The sequence below is a fragment of the Homo sapiens genome, chromosome X (assembly GCF_000001405.40).
Source record: "Homo sapiens chromosome X, GRCh38.p14 Primary Assembly".
NCBI lineage: Eukaryota > Metazoa > Chordata > Mammalia > Primates > Hominidae > Homo > Homo sapiens.
In genome coordinates, this window is record NC_000023.11 from 112,919,231 (window position 1) to 112,938,383 (window position 19,153).

Below are 19,153 nucleotides of genomic sequence, written 5' to 3' on the forward strand. Positions count from 1 at the left end.
TTTTTTCCTTGTTGGGATAGAAAATGTCTATCCGAAATCCATCAGCTAGCATCATTTGCAATGGTAAGACACTATAGATGTAACCCCATTAAAATCAGTAACAAGCTAAGAAGATCTGCTATCACCATTATAATTTAATTTTTAAAATTCCCTAGCCAGTGCAATAAAGCAGGAAACAGAAATAAGAGCCATCACTAATAGAAATCAGGAGGCACAATTAATATCTTCAAATGAAATGATTTTCTAACCCACGGAGTCTAAATGAAAACCATTTAGAATGAGATTTTAAAGGTTTGTTAGTTGTCCTAAACATTTCAGTAACCAGTTAGAAAACACAGTGGAGAGCTTATTTGCTGTAACACCAGAATGTAGAAAATACCTAGAAATAACCTCAACAAGAAATGTGCAAGATCTGTATGAAGAAAATGGTGAAACTTTACCAAAAAAACCTCCTGAAACATGAATGAGAGGACAAACATTTTTAACTTGTTAATTCCTCTGAAATAGTTTTAATAAAATTTACAATAAAAGTACCAGAGAGTATTCTTGTACCTTGGTAAAGTAATTTTAAACTCCATCCTGAAGAATATATATCCAAGAATAGCAAATATTTTCTGAAAAAGAAGACCAATGAGGAGGACTTTAACAAATGATAAAACCTGGTTCAAAAATTGCAGTTATTAAAACAGCATGGTACGGGTACATGCATTTTTTTTTTTTTTTTTTTTTTTTTGAGAGGGAGTATAGAGTCTCGCTCTGTCCCCCAGGCTGGGGCGCAGTGGCGTGATCTCGGCTCACTGCAAGCTCTGCCTCCCGGGTTCACGTCATTCTCCTGCCTCAGCCTCCCGAGTAGCTGGGACTACAGGCGCCCGCCACCACGCCCGGCTAATTTTTTGTATTTTTAGTGGAGACGGGGTTTCACCGTGGTCTCGATCTCCTGACCTCATGATCCACCCGCCTCGGCCTCCCAAAGTGCTGGGATTACAGGCGTGAGCCACTGCGCCCGGCCGGATTTTTAAAAAACAAACATAAATGTCACAAATTCTAGAGCCTCAGAATAGTGAAATGGAGCTTAGTGTTTCCCCACGAGCTCAGGCATATGCCATTTTGGACCCGTGTTAGCACAATGATAAAAGGATTTGTGTCGTGGCAGCTCCTTCTGGGCTCCTGGATTATTTTGAAGGGGACACTACCAGTAAGTCAGAGTCCTTGACAGTCCAGAAGCTCATAGGGAGAGTTAATGGCATAGTTTTCATGGACCAATCATTTATTCTAATGCTTCTTTCTTCTTCTATAGTAAAAGTATATGCAACAAGGGTTGAATTGCTTATTTTGGCAGATGGCCCTAAATATGTAGAAAGTTAGTACTACCTCTGGATTTTCCTTTTGTAGGTGTCAGGTTAAAAGAGAGGTATTTTACAATTCCTACCCTCTGATCTAAGGAACCTTTTAAAATGTAATTTCAAAAATTCGATTTTCTTGAGGTGGTTACCTCAATTAGCATATCTATTAATGTAGCATCATAGTCATCTTTTGGCAGGCTTCATTTTAAAAGCAAAGGAGACAAATTGATTCCAATTGCAGGAATTTGCTTTATTCTATAGTAAAGTCCTTTGCATTATTCTACAATGTGTATGGTACCAAGTGTGCGCCTTTCTTTTTAAAAATTGCGTTACAATATATGAAATTATATCTGTATCTGAGCATCTATAAAAACAATTATTCTCGTCCAATAAGTACTAAATTGAAGCGAAAGCATTTTTAAAAGCTTTAAATTATATTTCTTTTTGGAAATCAAATATACCAAGAAATATTTGGTGCTGATGCCATCTAAAATTATATTTGTTTTTTCAAAAACATTCTAGAGTTGCACTCAAGTTTATAATGATGAATGAAAGCAGATCCTTACTTTAGGGTGGCTAATTTTGTTTTATTTTCCCTATTTAAATAAAACTATTTTGGCAACAAATTTCCCATTTATCATTCATCATTCAGTTAATGGAGAAATATTTATTGATTGTTTACTATGTGCTAGGTTCTATACTAGGTATTACATTGTTATAATAAAATGAATGTACTCTCTGTCCTCATGAAACTTTTAGTTTAGTGGGGAGGCAGACATTAGACACTTAAATGGCCAAATAGATACATAATTAGAAATGTCGATAAGTTCTATGAAAGAAACAGAGGACACAAAGAGAAAACAACTGGAGTTACACACTTTAATTTGCTTGTTTAGCTTGGGTGAATAAGAAGCCCTCTCTGGGGAAGCAATATTTAAGCTGAGATCTGAAGAATGAGAAGGAGCCAGCCACGCAAAAGATGGGTGGAAGAATGTTCAAGAAGGAAAGAACACCTTTTATGAAGATGTAAAACATGCTCAAGTAGCTAAAGGCCAGCGTGGCTAAAGACTGGAGAGATAGCTGGACACTAGCATGAGACGAGGTGGTGAAGGTAGGCAGGGATCAGATTATGCAGGATGTTGATGCCTGTGTTAAAGAATTGCATTTTAAATTAGTTGGATGCTGTGGGGTGCACCTGCAGTCCCAGCTACTCAGGAGGCTGAGGTGGAAGGATTGCTTACAGGAGTTTGAGGCTGCAGGGAGCTATGATCTAGCCACTGCCCTTCAGCCTGGACAACAGAGCAAGACCTTGTCTTCAGAAAAAAAAAAAAAAAGAATTTATATTTTATTGAAACTGCAAAGGAAAGTCATTAAAGGGTCTTCAGCAGAGGAGTAATATGATCATATTTACATTTTTAAAATTCTGATTTTGGCTTAAGAGTAGACAATGCATGGAGGTAGAGACGAATGGATATTATCAGATTTTGGGTAATAATTTCTGGCTGCTAAGAGGCATGCCCAAATGACCAAATGAATACTTAAAAGGCAAAAACTTCTGATCTCAAACTACAGTGTTTGTTGTACTCACACTACACCCATAGTAGTTCTCTTTTAAAAATTATGCATACATTTTTTATGGTGTTACACAAACTAAACAACTGTTGAAACATGCTTCTTTATCTTTGTTTATGAAATATGTTAAATGTAATACTCTAATGAGAGTTGCATTTGTTACCTATCTAGCTTCTATTTTGAAGGCCAAGTTTGCATATTATTTATATTTTGGTTCAAAAGAAGAGGCAAGCAGTTTCTGATAATTTGAGGGAACTAATATGACTAGAACAATAACAGAAGAAATTAAATTGGTCGATGAGTCTGTCTGAAATGAACAGAACAAGAGCAAGAGAAATGAGTCAGAGGACTATGGTCACAGAAATCTCTGAGATCTGTAAGAGAGGTAACTGAAAGATTGATAATTGATAGCTCGCAACTGAAGAAATATTTAAGACCTGATATGAATTCACCTTCTGTAATAGTCTGTTCTCACATTGCTATAAAGAAATACCTGAGACTGGATAATTTTTAAAGAAAAGAGGTTTAATTGGCTTATGGTTCTGCAGGGTGTCCAGGAAAGCATAGGGACTTCTGCTTCTGGGGAGGCCTCAGGAAGCGTCCAATCATGGCAGAAGGCAAAGGGGGAGCCTGCCCATTTTACAGGGCCAGAGCAGGAGGAAGAAAGATGGTGAGGGAGGTGCTACACACTTTTTTATTTTTATTTTTTATTTTTCCAATGAATGAAATCTATCTATCTTATTTATATATATATATTTTTTTAAATTATACTTTAAGTTCTAGGGTACATGTGCACAACGTGCAGCTGTGTTACATATGTATACATGTGCCATGTTGGTGTGCTGCACCCATTAACTTGTCATTTACATTAGGTATATCTACTAATGCTATCCCTCCCCGCTTCCCCCACCCCACAACAGGCCCCAGTGTGTGATGTTCCCCTTCCTGTGTCCAAGTGTTCTCATTGTTCAGTTCCCACCTATGAGTGAGAACATGCGGTGTTTGGTTTTTTGTCCTTGCGATAGTTTGCTCAGAATGATGGCTTCCAGCTTCATCCATGTCCCTACAAAGGACATGAACTCATCATTTTTTATGGCTGCATAGTATTCCATGGTGTATATGTGCCACATTTTCTTAATCCAGTCTATCGTTGTTGGACATTTGGGTTGGTTCCAAGTCTTTGCTATTGTGAATAGTGCTGCAATAAATATACGTGTGCATGTGTCTTTATAGCAGCAGGATTTATAATCCTTTGGGTATATACCCAGTGATGGGATGGCTGGGTCAAATGGTATTTCTAGTTCTAGATCCCTGAGGAATAGCCACACTGTCTTCCACAACGGTTGAACTAGTTTACAGTCCCACCAACAGTGTAAAAGTGTTCCTATTTCTCCACATCCTCTCCAGCACCTGTTGATTCCTGACTTTTTAATGATTGCCATTCTAACTGGTGTGAGATGGTATCTCATTGTGGTTTTGATTTGCATTTCTCTGATGGCCAGTGATGATGAGCATTTTTTCATGTGTCTGTTGGCTGCATAAGTGTCTTCTTTTGAGAAGTGTCTGTTCATATCCTTCACCCACTTTTTGATGGGGTTGTCTGTTTTTTTCTTGTAAATTTGTTTCAGTTCATTGTAGATTCTGGATATTAGCCCTTTGTCAGATGAGTAGATTGCAAAAGTTTTCTCCCATTGTGTAGGTTGCCTGTTCACTCTGATGGTAGTTTCTTTTGCTGTGCAGAAGCTCTTTAGTTTAATTAGATCCTATTTGTCAATTTTGGCTTTTGTTGCCATTGCTTTTGGTGTTTTAGACATGAAGTCCTTGCCCATGCCTATGTTCTGAATGGTATTGCCTAGGTTTTCTTCTAGGGTTTTTATGGTTTTAGGTCTAACATTTAAGTCTTTAATCCATCTTGAATTAATTTTTGTATAAGGTGTAAGGAAGGGATCCAGTTTCAGCTTTCTACATATGGCTAGCCAGTTTTCCCAGCACCATTTGTTAAATAGGGAATCGTTTCCCCATTTCTTGTTTTTGTCAGGTTTGTCAAAGATCAGATAGTTGTAGATGTGTGGTATTATTTCTGAGGCCTCTGTTCTGTTCCATTGGTCTATATCTCTGTTTTGGTACCAGTACCATGCTGTTTTGGTTACTGTAGCCTTGTAGTATAGTTTGAAGTCAGGTAGTGTGATGCCTCCAGCTTTGTTCTTTTGGCTTAGGATTGACTTGGCAATGTGGGCTTTTTTCTGCTTCCATATAAACTTTAAAGTAGTTTTTTCCAATTCTGTGAAGAAAGTCATTGGTAGCTTGATGGGGATGTCATTGAATCTATAAATTACCTTGGGAAGGCCATTTTCATGATATTGATTCTTCCTATCCATGAGCATGCAATGTTCTTCCATTTGTTTGTATCCTCTTTTATTTTGTTGAGCAGTGGTTTGTACTTCTTGAAGAGGTCCTTCACGTCCCTTGTAAGTTGGATTCCTAGGTATTTTATTCTCTTTGTAGCAATTGTGAATGGGAATTCACTCATGATTTGGCTCTCTGTTTGTCTGTTATTGGTGTATAGGAATGCTTGTGATTTTTGTACATTGATTTTGTACCCTGAGACTTTGCTGACGTTGCTTATCAGCTTAAGGAGTTTTTGGGCTGAGACGATGGGGTTTTCTAGATACAAAATCATGTCATCTGCAAACAGGGACAATTTGACTTCCTCTTTTCCTAATTGAATACCCTTTATTTCTTTCTCCTGCCTGATTGCCTGGGCCAGAACTTCCAACACTATGTTGAATAGGAGTGGTGAGAGAGGGCATCCCTGTCTTGTGCCAGTTTTCAAAGGGAATGCTTCCAGTTTTTGCCCATTCAGTATGATATTGGCTGTGGGTTTGTCATAAATAGCTCTTGTTATTTTGAGATATGTTCCATCAATACCTAATTTGTTGAGAGTTTTTAGCATGAAGGGCTGTTGAATTTTGTCAAAGGCCTTTTCTGCATCTATTAAGATAATCATGTGGTTTCTGTTGTTGGTTCTGTTTATATGCTGGATTATGTTTATTGATTTGCATATGTTGAACCAGCCTTGCATCCCAGGGATAAAGCCCACTTGATCATGGTGGATAAGCTTTTAGATGTGCTGCTGGATTCAGTTTGCTAGTATTTTATTGAGGATTTTCGCATCGATGTTCATCAGGGATATTGGTCTAAAATTTTCTTTTTTTGTTGTGTCTCTGCCAGGCTTTGGTATCAGGATGATGCTGACCTCGTAAAATGAGTTAGGGAGGATTCCCTCTTTTTCTGTTGATTGAAATAGTTTCAGAAGGAATGGTACCAGCTCCTCTTTGTACCTCTGGTAGAATTCGGCTGTGAATCTGTCTGATCCTGGACTTTTTTTGGTTGGTAAGCTATTAATTATTGCCTCAATTTCAGATCCTGTTATTGGTCTATTCAGAGATTCAACTTCTTCCTGGTTTAGTCTTGGGAGGGTGTATGTGTCAAGGAATTTATCCATTTCTTCTAGATTTTCTAGTTTATTTGTGTAGAGGTGTTTATAGTATTCTCTGATGGTAGTTTGAATTTCCGTGGGATCGGTGGTGATATCCCCTTTATCATTTTTTATTGCGTCTATTTGATTCTTCTCTCTTTACTCCTTTATTAGTCTTGCTAGTGGTCTATCAATTTTGTTGATCTTTTCAAAAAACCAGCTCCTGGATTCATTGATTTTTTGAAGGGATTTTTTGTTTCTATCTCCTTGAGTTCTGCTCTGATCTTAATTATTTCTTGCCTTCTGCTAGCTTTTGAAAGTGTTTGCTCTTGCTTCCCTAGTTCTTTTAATTGTGATGTTAGGGTGTCAATTTTAGATCTTTCCTGCTTTCTCTTGTGGGCATTTAGTGCTATAAATTTCCCTCGACACACTGCTTTGAACGTGTCCCAGAGATTCTGGTATGTTGTGTCTTTGTTCTCGTTGGTTTCAAAGAACATCTTTATTTCTGCCTTCATTTCGTTATGTACCCAGTAGTCATTCAGGAGCAGGTTGTTCGGTTTCCATGTAGTTGAGCGGTTTTGAGTGAGTTTCTTAATCCTGAGTTCTAGTTAAAAGGACCAGATCTCATGAGAACTCACTATCATCAGGACAATACCAAGGGACATGGTGCTGCCAAACCATTCATGAAAAATCCACCCCCATGATCCAGCCGCCTCTCACCAGGCCCCAACTACAACATTGGGAACTACAATTCAACATGAGATTTGGTGGGAACACAGACCCAAACCATATCACCTTCTTTTCAAAGGTTCAATGATGCCAAGAACTGAATAAGGCTTGAGTGAGGTTGGACTCAAGAGTTAGAGCATCTGCCTAGTGGAAGTCTAGAACAACCAAGGGTTAGAGGATGAGATGGAGGACTTGTGTCCAAAAAGGAACAGGGAGTAAATTCTAAAAGAAAGCAGAGATCCTGGTCATCCAAAAGTGGTGTCATCTCAAATTGAAGTGGGTTTCATACCAGGGATGCAAAGATGGTTTAATATACACAAGTCAATAAATGTGATACAACACATAAACAGAATTAAAAAGAAAAGTCACATGATTATTTCAATAGATACAGAAAAAGCATTTGATAAAACTAGCATCCCTTTATGATTAAAACTCTCAGCAAAATTGGCATACAAGGGACATATCTCAATGTAATAAAAACCATCTATGACAAACCCACAGCCAACGTAATACTGAATGGGGAAAAGTTGAAAGCATTCTCTTTGAGACCTTGAACAAGACAAGGATGCCAACTCTCACCATTCCTCTTCAACATAGTACTGGAAGTCCTAGCCAGAGCGACCAGTCAAGAGAAAGAAATAAAGGGCATCCAAATTGTAAAGAGGAAGTCATACTGTCGCTGTTTGCTGATGATATGATTGTTTACTTAGAAAACCCTAAAGACTCCTCCAGAAAGCTCCTAGAACTGATAAAATAATTCAGCAAAGTTTCTGGATACAAAATTAATATACAAAAATCAGTAGCTCTTCTATACACCAACAGCGACCAAGCTGAGAATCAGATCAAGAATTCAACCCCTTTTACAATAGCCGTAAATAAACAAACAAATAAATAAATAAATAAATAAGATACTTAGGAGTATACCTAACCTAGGAGGCAAAAGACCTTTACAAGGAAATCTACAAAACACTGCTGAAAGAAATCATAGATGACGCAAACAAATGGAAACACATCCCATGGTTATGGATGAGTGGAATCAATATTGTGAAAATGACCATAGTGCCGAAAGCAATCTACAAATTCAACACAATCCCCATAAAAAATACCACCATCATTCTTCACAGAACTAGAAAAAACAATCCTAAAATTCATATGGAACCAAAAAAGAGCCTGCAAAGCCAAAGTAAGACTAAGCAAAAAGAACAAATCCGGAGGCATCACATTAACTGATTTCAAAATATAGTATAAGGCCATGGTCACCAAAACAGCATGGTACTGGTATACAAATAAGCACATAGACAATTGAACAGAATAGACAACCCAGAAATAAACCCAAATATTTTCAGCCAATTGATCTTTGACAAAGGAAACAAAAACATAAAGTGGGGAAAGGACATCTTATTCAACAAATGGTGCTGGGATAATTGGTAAGCCACATGTAAGAGAATGAAACTGGATCCTCATCTTTCACCTTATACAAAAATCAACTCAAGATGGATCAAGGACTTAAATCTAAGACCTGAAACTATAGAAATTATGGAAGATAACATTGGAAAAACCCTTCTAGACATTGGCTTAGTCAAAGGTTTCATGACAAAGAACCCAAAAGCAAATGCAATAAAAACAAAGATAAATTGCTGGGACTTAATTAAATTTGAGAGATTTGGCACGGCAAAAGGAACAGTCAGCAGAATAAACAGACAACCCACAGACTGGGAGAAAATCTTCACAACCTATACATCTGACAAAGGACTAATATCCAGAATCTACAATGAACTCAAACAAATTAGCAAGATAAAAACAAACATTCCCATCAAAAAGTGGGCTAAGGACATGAATAGAAAATTCTCAAAAGAAGATATACCAGTGGCCAACAAACGTGAAAAAATGCTCAACATCACCAATGATCAGGGAAATGCAACTCAAAACCACAATGCAATACCACTGCACTCCAGCAAGAATGGCCATAATAAAAAAATTAAAAAATAATAGATGTTGACAGGGATGTGGTGAGCAGGGAACACTTCTACACTGCTGGTGGGAATGTAAACTAGTACAGCCACTATGGAAAACAGTGTGGAGATTCCTTGATGAACTAAAAGTAGAACTAACATTTGATCCAGCAGTCCCACTGTTGGATATCTACCCAGAGGAAAAGGAGTCATTATACGAAAAAGACACTTGCACACGCATGTTTATAGCAGCACAATTCACAATTGCAACAATGTGGAACCAACCCAAATGCCCATCAATCAACGAGTGAAATATATATATATATATGTATAAAATATGTAATATATATAATATGTAATATATTATGTATATATATACACACACACACACACACAATGGAATACTACTCAGCCATAAAAAGGAATGAATTGATGATATTCACAGCAACCTGGATGAGCGTGGAGACTATTATTCTAAGTGAAGTAACTCAGGAATAGAAAACAAAACATCATATGTTCTGACTGATAAGTGGGAGCTAAGCTATAAGGATTCAAAGGCATAAGAATGACACAATAAGCAGGGCATGGTGGCTCACGTCTGTAATCCCAGCACTTTGGGAGGCCGAGGCAGGTGGATCACGAGGTCAGGAGTTCGAGACCAGCCTGACCAACATGGTGAAACCCTGTCTCTACTAAAAATAGAAAAATTAGCCGCACATGGTGGCATGCACCTGTAATCCCAGCTATTCGGGAGGCTGAGGCAGGAGAATCACTTGAACCCAGGAGGCAGAGGTTGCAGTGAGCCAAGACTGCACCACTGCACTCCAGCTTGGGTGACAGAGTGAGGCTCCGTCTCAAAAAAAAAAAAAAAAGAATGACACAATGGACTTTGGGGACTCAGGTGGAAAGGGTGGGAAGGGGGTGAGGGATAAAAGACTACAAATAGTGTGCAGTGTATACTGCTCGGGTGATAGGTGCACCAAAATCTCACAAATCACCACTAAAGAACCTACTCATGTAACCAAACACCACCTGTTCCCCAGTAACCTATGGAAATAAAAATAAATAAATAAATAAATTTCACTTATGCTCTATAAAAAAGACTGTTTATAATGTGTCAACCTTCTCTTGACTGAATCCACAGCAAAAAGGACTTTCCAGACATCAGTCAGGATAGATGGGAAGAGACCTTAGTACCCCACATGGCCTGTATAAGTGGCAGAAGCCATTCCGAATAGGGTAGTGGAGCTGGGTAGATGAAGTTCATAGAGATCTTCAGACAGCAGTTGATATGCATGCCTTCCCTCCTTGGGCATTTTCTCACCTTGCTTCAAAACCAAGCAGAACTAAAGCAGAAAATCAAAGCTGCCTTACAAAATGAGAGAAAAAAAGCCCAGAGCGGAAGGGCCACAAACCTCTCTCAGCCTGCTTAAAAACAAATCCCAAACAAAGAAATTTCAGCTTCCAGTGAAAAGTAATTTCTGTGACTGTGAAACTCCTGACCATAGGCCAAGCAAGGTCATTCAGAAGGAACACATGAGAGTAGAGGCAAAAGCAAAATCAGTCAAATTGATTCTATGTCTTAAGATACCATTATTTCATGGTCATGGCAAGGGAAAAATATGATCTCTATGGATTTGATCTATTGCTACCTTATATGAACAGTCTGAAATGAAACAATGAGATTGTTTTCGTCCGTTAAGATGCCCCAAGGCAAAGCCTATTCAACTTTTTCCCCTCTTGAAACAAAGGTACTTAAATATTTGCAAGACTGGGGCTAACTGCAAAAAATGACTATAAACTTTACAGCTAGTCACATATGTTTCCACATAATTCACAGCTTGGTATACCCAAATATGCAGCAAATATCTTGGTAATAGTTTTTCTATAAGGACAATCAAGTTCCTAACAAATATCTATTTTACTCATATCTAAAAAGCAGTATTTTAATTTGCACATCATGCATCCTTTCTGAAAATGCCACAGAATGCCAACCTATACGCTAATCAAAAAAGTGCATACATATTTTGTTCTTCGAGTGCTTGAATTGGGTCAGATACTTAATTTTGCCAGGATATAAGAACATACTGTAGCAAATGTCTTACACTAAGACTGACCATCGTTGGTTTTGTTTTTGTGTATAATCTCTATTCCTAAAGATCATATTTTCAGTAAAACCTTTTTTGACTTGCTGGATCTGCTCAGTGCATCAGTGATAACAATATCATGGACTCATGTGAGGAAAGTAAGGAGGGCCACTTGACATAGGATGACAATGTATTGCTTGGAATTGTGCACAGGCTTGGAAGTCAGGAGACTTGAGAAAATTTTCTGGATTGATACTAATTCACCACGTGCGAACTTCAGCAGAGTAATTTTGGGCTTAGATATGCTATTTTCCAAGGGCATGGTGAAGATCTCTGGAATTCCTTGGAGGCATTTTAGAGATGACAGACAGTTAAGAGGGAATGAGAGGGAAGTCCTATATGGCCCTCTCAATCAAAATAGTTCTTCTTGATTTGTTTAACAGACTGAACTTCTGTGTAAGATTTAATTTAAAGCTAGGCTTCCATGAGCCCTGCTCTGATTATCTGAATATTTATGTCCCCTAAAAAATTTGTATGTTGAAATCATATCCCCCAAGATGCTGGTACTTAGAGGTAGGACCTTTGGGAGATGGTTAGGTCATGGGGGCAAAGCCCTCGTGAATGAGATCAGTGACCTTATAAAAGAGACCCCATAGAGACCCCTCACTACTTCCGCCATTTGAGGACACAGCAGAGAAGGAGTTATATATGAATGAGGAAACGGGTCCTCACCAGACATCGAATCTGACGTCACTTCAACCTTAGACTTCCCAGGCTCCAGAACTGTGAGAAATAGATGTCGATTCTTTGTAAGCCTCACAGTCTATGGTATTTTGTTATAGCAGCCTGAATGGACTGACAGGTCCTTCCACTAAATCACTAGATGAAGTGCCCCTCCCGCCAAGATCCCTTCAGGCTCCATCACTTTTTGACATTCTAATTCAACTTGATCTCATACCATCATTTTTGAATTCCAATCATTTGAATATTGTGGCTTCCCCTTTCCCTGAGGCCAGTGGAATATTTTCCCTCTCAGCCCTTTACGCCAGGAATATGTCAGCAATCTATGTGACAATGGGCAGTTCAGGTGCTTCTTTCTTGTTCACCTTGCAGTGATTTAACTCCTACCATCTTCTTTCTTGTTCACCATGTAGTGATTTAACTCCTACCATCTTCTTCACTACCATCATCTTTCCCTCTCTCCTTTCCTGTCACTGTGAGTGACACACCAGCTGATAGTGTTATGAATAGGAAGGTTTGGGCAGAGTGACTGTCAGAAATATTTTTACCGTGTGAAAGGACATTTGTGGAATGTTATGGCATCGTTGCCTCCTGCCCCTCAGAGAATGTGGCATTGAGTATTGGGCTCTTGCCACTGTATCCAGCATACCAAAGCGAGCTCCTGGCCTCATTGTACATTACAGAGTACTTAAATAATATCCTCATCTTATATATACACATGTATTTATTTTCATGTTCTTTCATATGCCCTACCTTAGATTTTACATTGTGACTTAAGTATGATTTAGCTGAAGTCCTCAGAATACTTCAGTAAAGCTATTACCAGAATTAGAACATTCCCCTGAGTTGCAGTGAGATTTGTGCTAAAGTTCACAATGCGAATTTGATAGCTCTAAACATGAGATATGTACTTGCTGCATTTACTGAAATCCCTGAGTCCCCTATCACTTTCCTTAGATTTCAAAGTTATGGGATTGTCCAGTATGTTTGCTAAGAATGACCTGATGTGACTCAAGTGTTATTCTGGGCACGATTCTGTTGCCAATTACATTGGTACACATGTTTTAATGTGATTCGGATTACTGATATAAATGCATATGATTACTTTGTGTTTTCTATTATATAACATTATATTTCCTTTAGACATTTCATTGTCTCAGGTTATAATATGACATCCTTATATAAAGCAGTTTTAAGGGGGAATTTATCTTCTCTCAGTGCTTTAACTTACCTACCAGATTTTATATTTGAGGCATCTTTTAGTGCCAAATTCATTAACCTGCAACATGTCTTGAATCATGTTTAAAATTATTTTAAGACATCCCCTACCCCACGCCAGAATAACCATGTGATAACCTTGAAAAATGTTTCTACTTTTTTGATTGATGGATTGATTTCAGGTGACAATTTATGGCTCATCACGACTATGTTAATAATTAGGTCCCAGATAATACATTGACATGGTTTCAGATATAAGTTTCCAACTAGTTTTGCTCAGAAGCGAAGTAGGTGGTTGCATATGTTGTGCGATCTGATGACCCTACATTTGAAAAGTATTCACCTCACAAGCTCATTTGAAATTGGAAGGTTGATCCCTACAGTCTTTGGTCTTCATGGGTAGTCTGTTGAAATGTAAATACCTCTAGATGGGCAGCCCATCAGCCTGCTGTCATTATCATTTTAATCTGGATTTATTTAGCAGATCTCTGAAAATTGGCTGAAATAGACTGGCAAGACAAAGATTTGATATCGGTTAAGGTGGATGACAAGTTTACAAGATTTGATATTGGTTTAAATGAAGAAAAGGTCTGTTTAAAGTCTTAGTAAGCCTAGTTTTGACTAGGCAAGGGAAGCATGCTAGCATACGGCATGTGAGTGCAGGCAGAGAAAGAGAAGTAACAGAATGGGTACACCAACTTTACCTAACCTCCATCTTTCTGGAAGTCAGCCCTTGTCTGTGACTTGTAGGGAACATTGTACTGCCTGCTTGTCACTCTGCCAACCATCCACCAAAGTAACTTTCAAGACTATCTTAGGGTCTGGGATTCTCTATGGGGGTGGTGAAAATAAAATTCTGTAACATCTTCCTTCTTTCTCTACTTTCTTAGCTGTCTTCTTGCCATTTTTGGAAAAGCTTTCCTTGAAAAATTTCTTGCTGCCTAATATTCTTGGTGCTTTAATCAAGGCAACACTATACAATCTTTACCACCAAATTTTCTCTTTAAAACAGATTTTATTTGATTGACCCACAGATAGGAGGGAGCCTAATACAGGCTCTACTGTTTCTTGGGGAAAGCCCTGAAAACCCTTGTCAATACTATTTTCCACATATTCTTTTGCTGTTGTTGCTACTCCTTTATCTTGATTGAACACAACCTCCAAGATTTTCTGTGCAAGGTTACTTGAGAGAGAAAATGTTAATTGACATTTTTCATATGTGAAAATCCCTTTATTCTACCATTATTAAGTTTGGCTGGTTATGGACTTCTAGGTTAGAAATAGCTTTTCCTTAAACTTTTGAAAACGTTGGCTCCTTGCTTTTGAGCTTCCAGTGTTGCCATTGAGTCAATATTATTACTTTGATTCCATGGTATTTTGAAACTTCACTATGGTATGTCTTTGTGTGATCTTTTTTTTTTTTTTTTTTTTTTTTTTTTTTTTGAGACGGAGTCTCGCTCTGCCGCCCAGGCTGAAGTGCAGGAGCGCGATCTCGGCTCACTGCAAGCACCGCCTCCCGGGTTCACGCCATTCTCCTGCCTCAGCCTCTGAAGTAGCTGGGACTACAGGCGCCCGCCACCACGCCCGGCTAATTTTTTTGTATTTTTAGTAGAGATGGGGTTTCACCGTGTTAGCCAGGATGGTCTCGATCTCCTGACCTCGTGATCTGCCCACCTGGGCCTCTCAAAGTGCTGGGATTACAGGCATGAGCCACCACGCCCGGCTGTGTGATCTATTTTTATTCATTATACTAGGCACTTGGTGGGCCCTTTCAGTTAGGAAACCTGTGTCCTTCAACTCTGAAAATTCTTCTTGCATTATTACTTGGATAATATCCTTTTACTCTTTCATTTCTCTTTTTTTCTCTGTAGATGTTATCAGCCAGATGTTGAACATCCGAGATTGATCCCCAAGTCATCTCTTCTGCTTATTTTCCATCTTTTTGTCTTTTTATTTTGATTTTCAGGAGGTCTCCTCCAACTTATATTCCAACACTTCTATTTTTATCTTATTTTTAATTTCCAAAAGTTTTATCTTATTCTCTGTATGTTCTTTTTTTAAGCCAATTTTTAATGAATGCTGTATATTCTCATCTCTCTAAAAGTTAGTTCTTAAAGTTTTCTTCTGTTCCCTGTATTGTCTCTGTTTCTGTCAAATTCACTTTCTTTGTTCTGTCGTTTTTATCTCTAGCCTCGATGTCTTATCACTCTTGATGGCCCATTTATATATAACAATAAGACACCAAGAAGCTGATTAGAAGTTCTGTGTACATGAGTAGGCACTGTTATATGGTGAAGTGTCCTTTAAGTTGGGAAGGCTACAACTCAGCTTTTTCACTGAGATTCTCAACAATATCAGTATATTTCAGTCCTTTTTATTAGACAATTATTTTCCACAGAAAGAAATAGTCCAATTTCCTATAGGTAATTATAAACCTGCCTGCAAGTATTCTGGGATATATGACAGGAATAAGGTAGGGACTGAAGATTGAACCTCTTGACATGCAGGTTTTCCAGATGAGAACATATCTTGGAAAGAGAAAAAAGAAAAAAGGAAAGAAAAATATGCATGTTTTGTATCCTCATTTTCGGTGTGGCAACTCACCCCACTTCTTATTCATATAAACTTTTTCCAGCAAGAAAAAAACCCTCCTGTCTTCTACATGCATTGGCAAAGGGAAATTACTCCATGGAGTACATGAGTGAACTTAGAAGGAAGGACTATATACTCCTTATACCAACTGATAATCTACTCTTCTGTTTTCAGTCCCACTCACACCCCTGCCCCTAGAGATTCTTGGTGCCTGCAAATCCTAAGACTTTCTGAGGTTCTGCAGCATGAATTGCCTCGCCTTTTGTTGGCTTCTACCCAGTTTCAGGCTTAAGTTTCAGTATTATCTATCTACACTGCTAAGTCATTTACCACCTGTCCATTTATTTTCTAGCTTACAAAATGTGTGTTGGTATTTCTCTTCTACTGTCATCTCCTCTCATGTTCTCTTTGTACTTTAGGATCTTTTATTACTTTTTAAAATTCTTGGCCTGGCTTGCTGGGTTATGCCTTTAATCTCAGCACTTTGGGAGGCCGAGGCAGGTGGATCACCTGAGGTCAGGAGTTCAAGACCAGCCTGGCCAACATGGTGAAACCCTGTCTATACTAAAAATACAAAAATTAGCCAGGCATGGTGGTGCACGCCTGTAATCTCAGCTACTTGGGAGGCTGAGGCAGGAGAATCGCTTGAACCTGGGAGGCGGAGATTGCAGTGAACCGAGATTGTGCCATTGTACTCCAGTCTGGGCAACAGAGCGAGACTCTGTCTCAAAATAAATAAATAAATAAATTTATTTGCTGCCATTTTAGTGAGGTTTCAGGAGTGAGTGGAGATACATATATTTGTTCAATCTTCTATGCTTACCTAGAGGTCTCCTCATTCATTTTACTAGCTGTATGGTATTCCATAGTTTATGTGGACCAAGCAGTGATACATAAAATATTAGATATGTATTAAGACCTGGGTCTCAAGCAATCAGAATGAGCACCAGTTATAGTGGTAACATATGGTCCTAAAGCCCCCTGCTGTGCAAGTGTTAAGACTTTAGTTGTTAGATTGTGTCGGGGTTCAAGGTATCCTGGGGAAAGAACCAAGATGACCAGAGTGCTGGAGGGGTGCACTCAGTGTATGGAATCAAGACAGAAACTATTAAGCTTATTTCAGCATTTTACCAACTATTTTATCTGCATTTGTGCATGCTTGCAAAATATCAATCAGGAATATGCCAGAATCCATTTATTCAATCCTTTACTAATGGACATTTATATTATTTCTAGCTTTTGTTTAAGTTTACAACAATGTGTGTGTGACAATCTCAAACACATCTCTTTTTGTACCTTTGGGAATATTACTGTAGCATTGCTTCTTAGTAGTACATTTCTTTCACTGGTTACCTTGGAAGCAACTAGTGGAAACAAAACAATTAGCTAATGATTTTTTTTTTTTTAAAGACAGGGTTTTATTCTGTTGCCCAGGTTGGAGTGCAGTGATGCAAACATAGTTCATTGCAGCCTTGAACTCCTGGGCTCAAGCAATCCTCCCACTTCAGCCTCTTGAGTAGCTAGGACTATAAGTGCATGCCACCATGCCTGGCTAATTTTTTAACTTATTATTATTATTATTATTGTTGTAGAGATGAGGCCTCATTATGTTGCCCAGGCTGATCTTGAATAACTGGCCTCCAGTGATCCTCCCACTTCAGCCTCCCAAAGTGCTGGGATTATAGGAGTCAGCCATTATGTCTGGCTCTGATTTACAAATATATATATATATATATATATATATATATATATATATCCTGTAGGCTGGGAACAGTGGCTCACGCCTGTAATCCCAGCATTTTGGGAGGTTGAGGTGGGCAGATCACTTGGGGTCAGGAGTTCAAGACCAGCCTGGCCAGCATGGCAAAATCCCGTTTCTACTAAAAATAAAAAAATTAGCTGGGCATAGTGGTGCATACCTGTGATCCCAGCTACTCAGGAGGCTGAGATGGGAGTATAGCTTGAACCTGGGAGGCGGAGGTTCTAGTGAGCTGAGATAGCGCCACTGCACTTCAGCCTGGGTGACAAAGTGAGATTCTCTCTCTCTTTCTCTATGTACATAACCTATAATTTAAGTTAATTCAACCTATTCTTTTTAAAAGTTGGTTCCGCGAATTCTGTTACAGGGACAATAGAATAGACGTACTTCTCCTTATTCTTTCTGCTGAGCACAACAAAAGGCTCTGCAAATCATATATAAAACAAAAGTAAGAAGTCTCTGAGAGGTAGATAAAAGAAAGAAGACTAGCTAGACCCAAGTAATTACATGATAACATGTCAGGGAACATGAAGACAAGTTCCCTGGGTAGATTTGTTTTTGTTTTTGTTTTTGTTTTTGTTTTTGCCTCACACATCCTAGATTTAGAACTGAAGACTGCAACCTGGAAATACTAAGAAGTACACACAAAAAAGCCACAACAAAAGCCTACTCTCTCTAACCAAAGGAAGAAGAAAGGAGCAGCCTAGAAAGGCAGGAAACTTTTAGACAATGTCTCTACAGGAGCCAAATGCCACCAATTAAAAATTGTGGCCCCAGTTGGTTGCAGTGGCTTATACCTGTAATTCCAGCACTTTGAAAGGCCAAGGCAGGAGGGTCACTTGAGCCCAGGAATTTGAGACCAGACTGAGCAACATGGTGAAACCCCACCTCTAAAATATATATATATATGTGTGTGTATATATATATATATGTGTGTGTGTATATATATATGTGTGTGTGTATATATGTGTGTGTGTGTGTGTGTGTGTGTGTATATATATATGTATATATGTATATATATATTTAGCCGGGCATGGTGGTGTTCATATGTAGTCCCAGCTACATGGGAATTGGAGGTGGGAGGATTGCTTGAGCCCAGGAGTTCAAAGTTACAATGAGGGAAGGGGAACATCACACACTGGGGCCTGTCGAAGGGTGGGGGTCTAGGGGAGGGAGAGCATTAGGACAAATACCTAATGCATACGGGGCCTAAAACCTAGACGATGGGTTGATAGGTGCAGCAACCCACCATGGCACATGTATACCTATGTAACAAACCTGCACATTCTGCACATGTATCCCAGAACTTAAAATAAAAAAAGTAATCCCATTTACAATAGCTACACATAAAATTAAATACCTAGGAATTAACCAAAGAAGTGAAATATCTCTATAATGAAAACTGTAAAACATGGGTAAAATAAATGGAAGAGGACACCAAAAAATGCAAAAATATTCCATGTTCATGGATTGGAAGAATCAATGTTGTTAAAAATGTCCATACTGTTAATTGCAATCCACAGATTCAATGCAATTACTATCAAAATACCAATTACATTCTTCACAGAAATACAAAAACAATCCTATAATTTATATGGAAGTATGAAAGACCCAGAATAGCCAAAGCTATCCTAAGGCAAAACACACACACACACAAACACACACACACACACACACACACA

The 19,153-nt window shown here is 38.5% G+C and overlaps 1 annotated feature.

Moving 5' to 3' along the window:
- Positions 17,944-18,507: an enhancer, noted in NCBI's record as "NANOG hESC enhancer chrX:112180402-112180965 (GRCh37/hg19 assembly coordinates)". NCBI's record gives its function as "activates a minimal SCP1, AML or CMV promoter by ChIP-STARR-seq in primed H9 embryonic stem cells {active_cell/tissue: H9 hESC(primed)}" and the evidence as "EXISTENCE:reporter gene assay evidence [ECO:0000049][PMID:30033119]".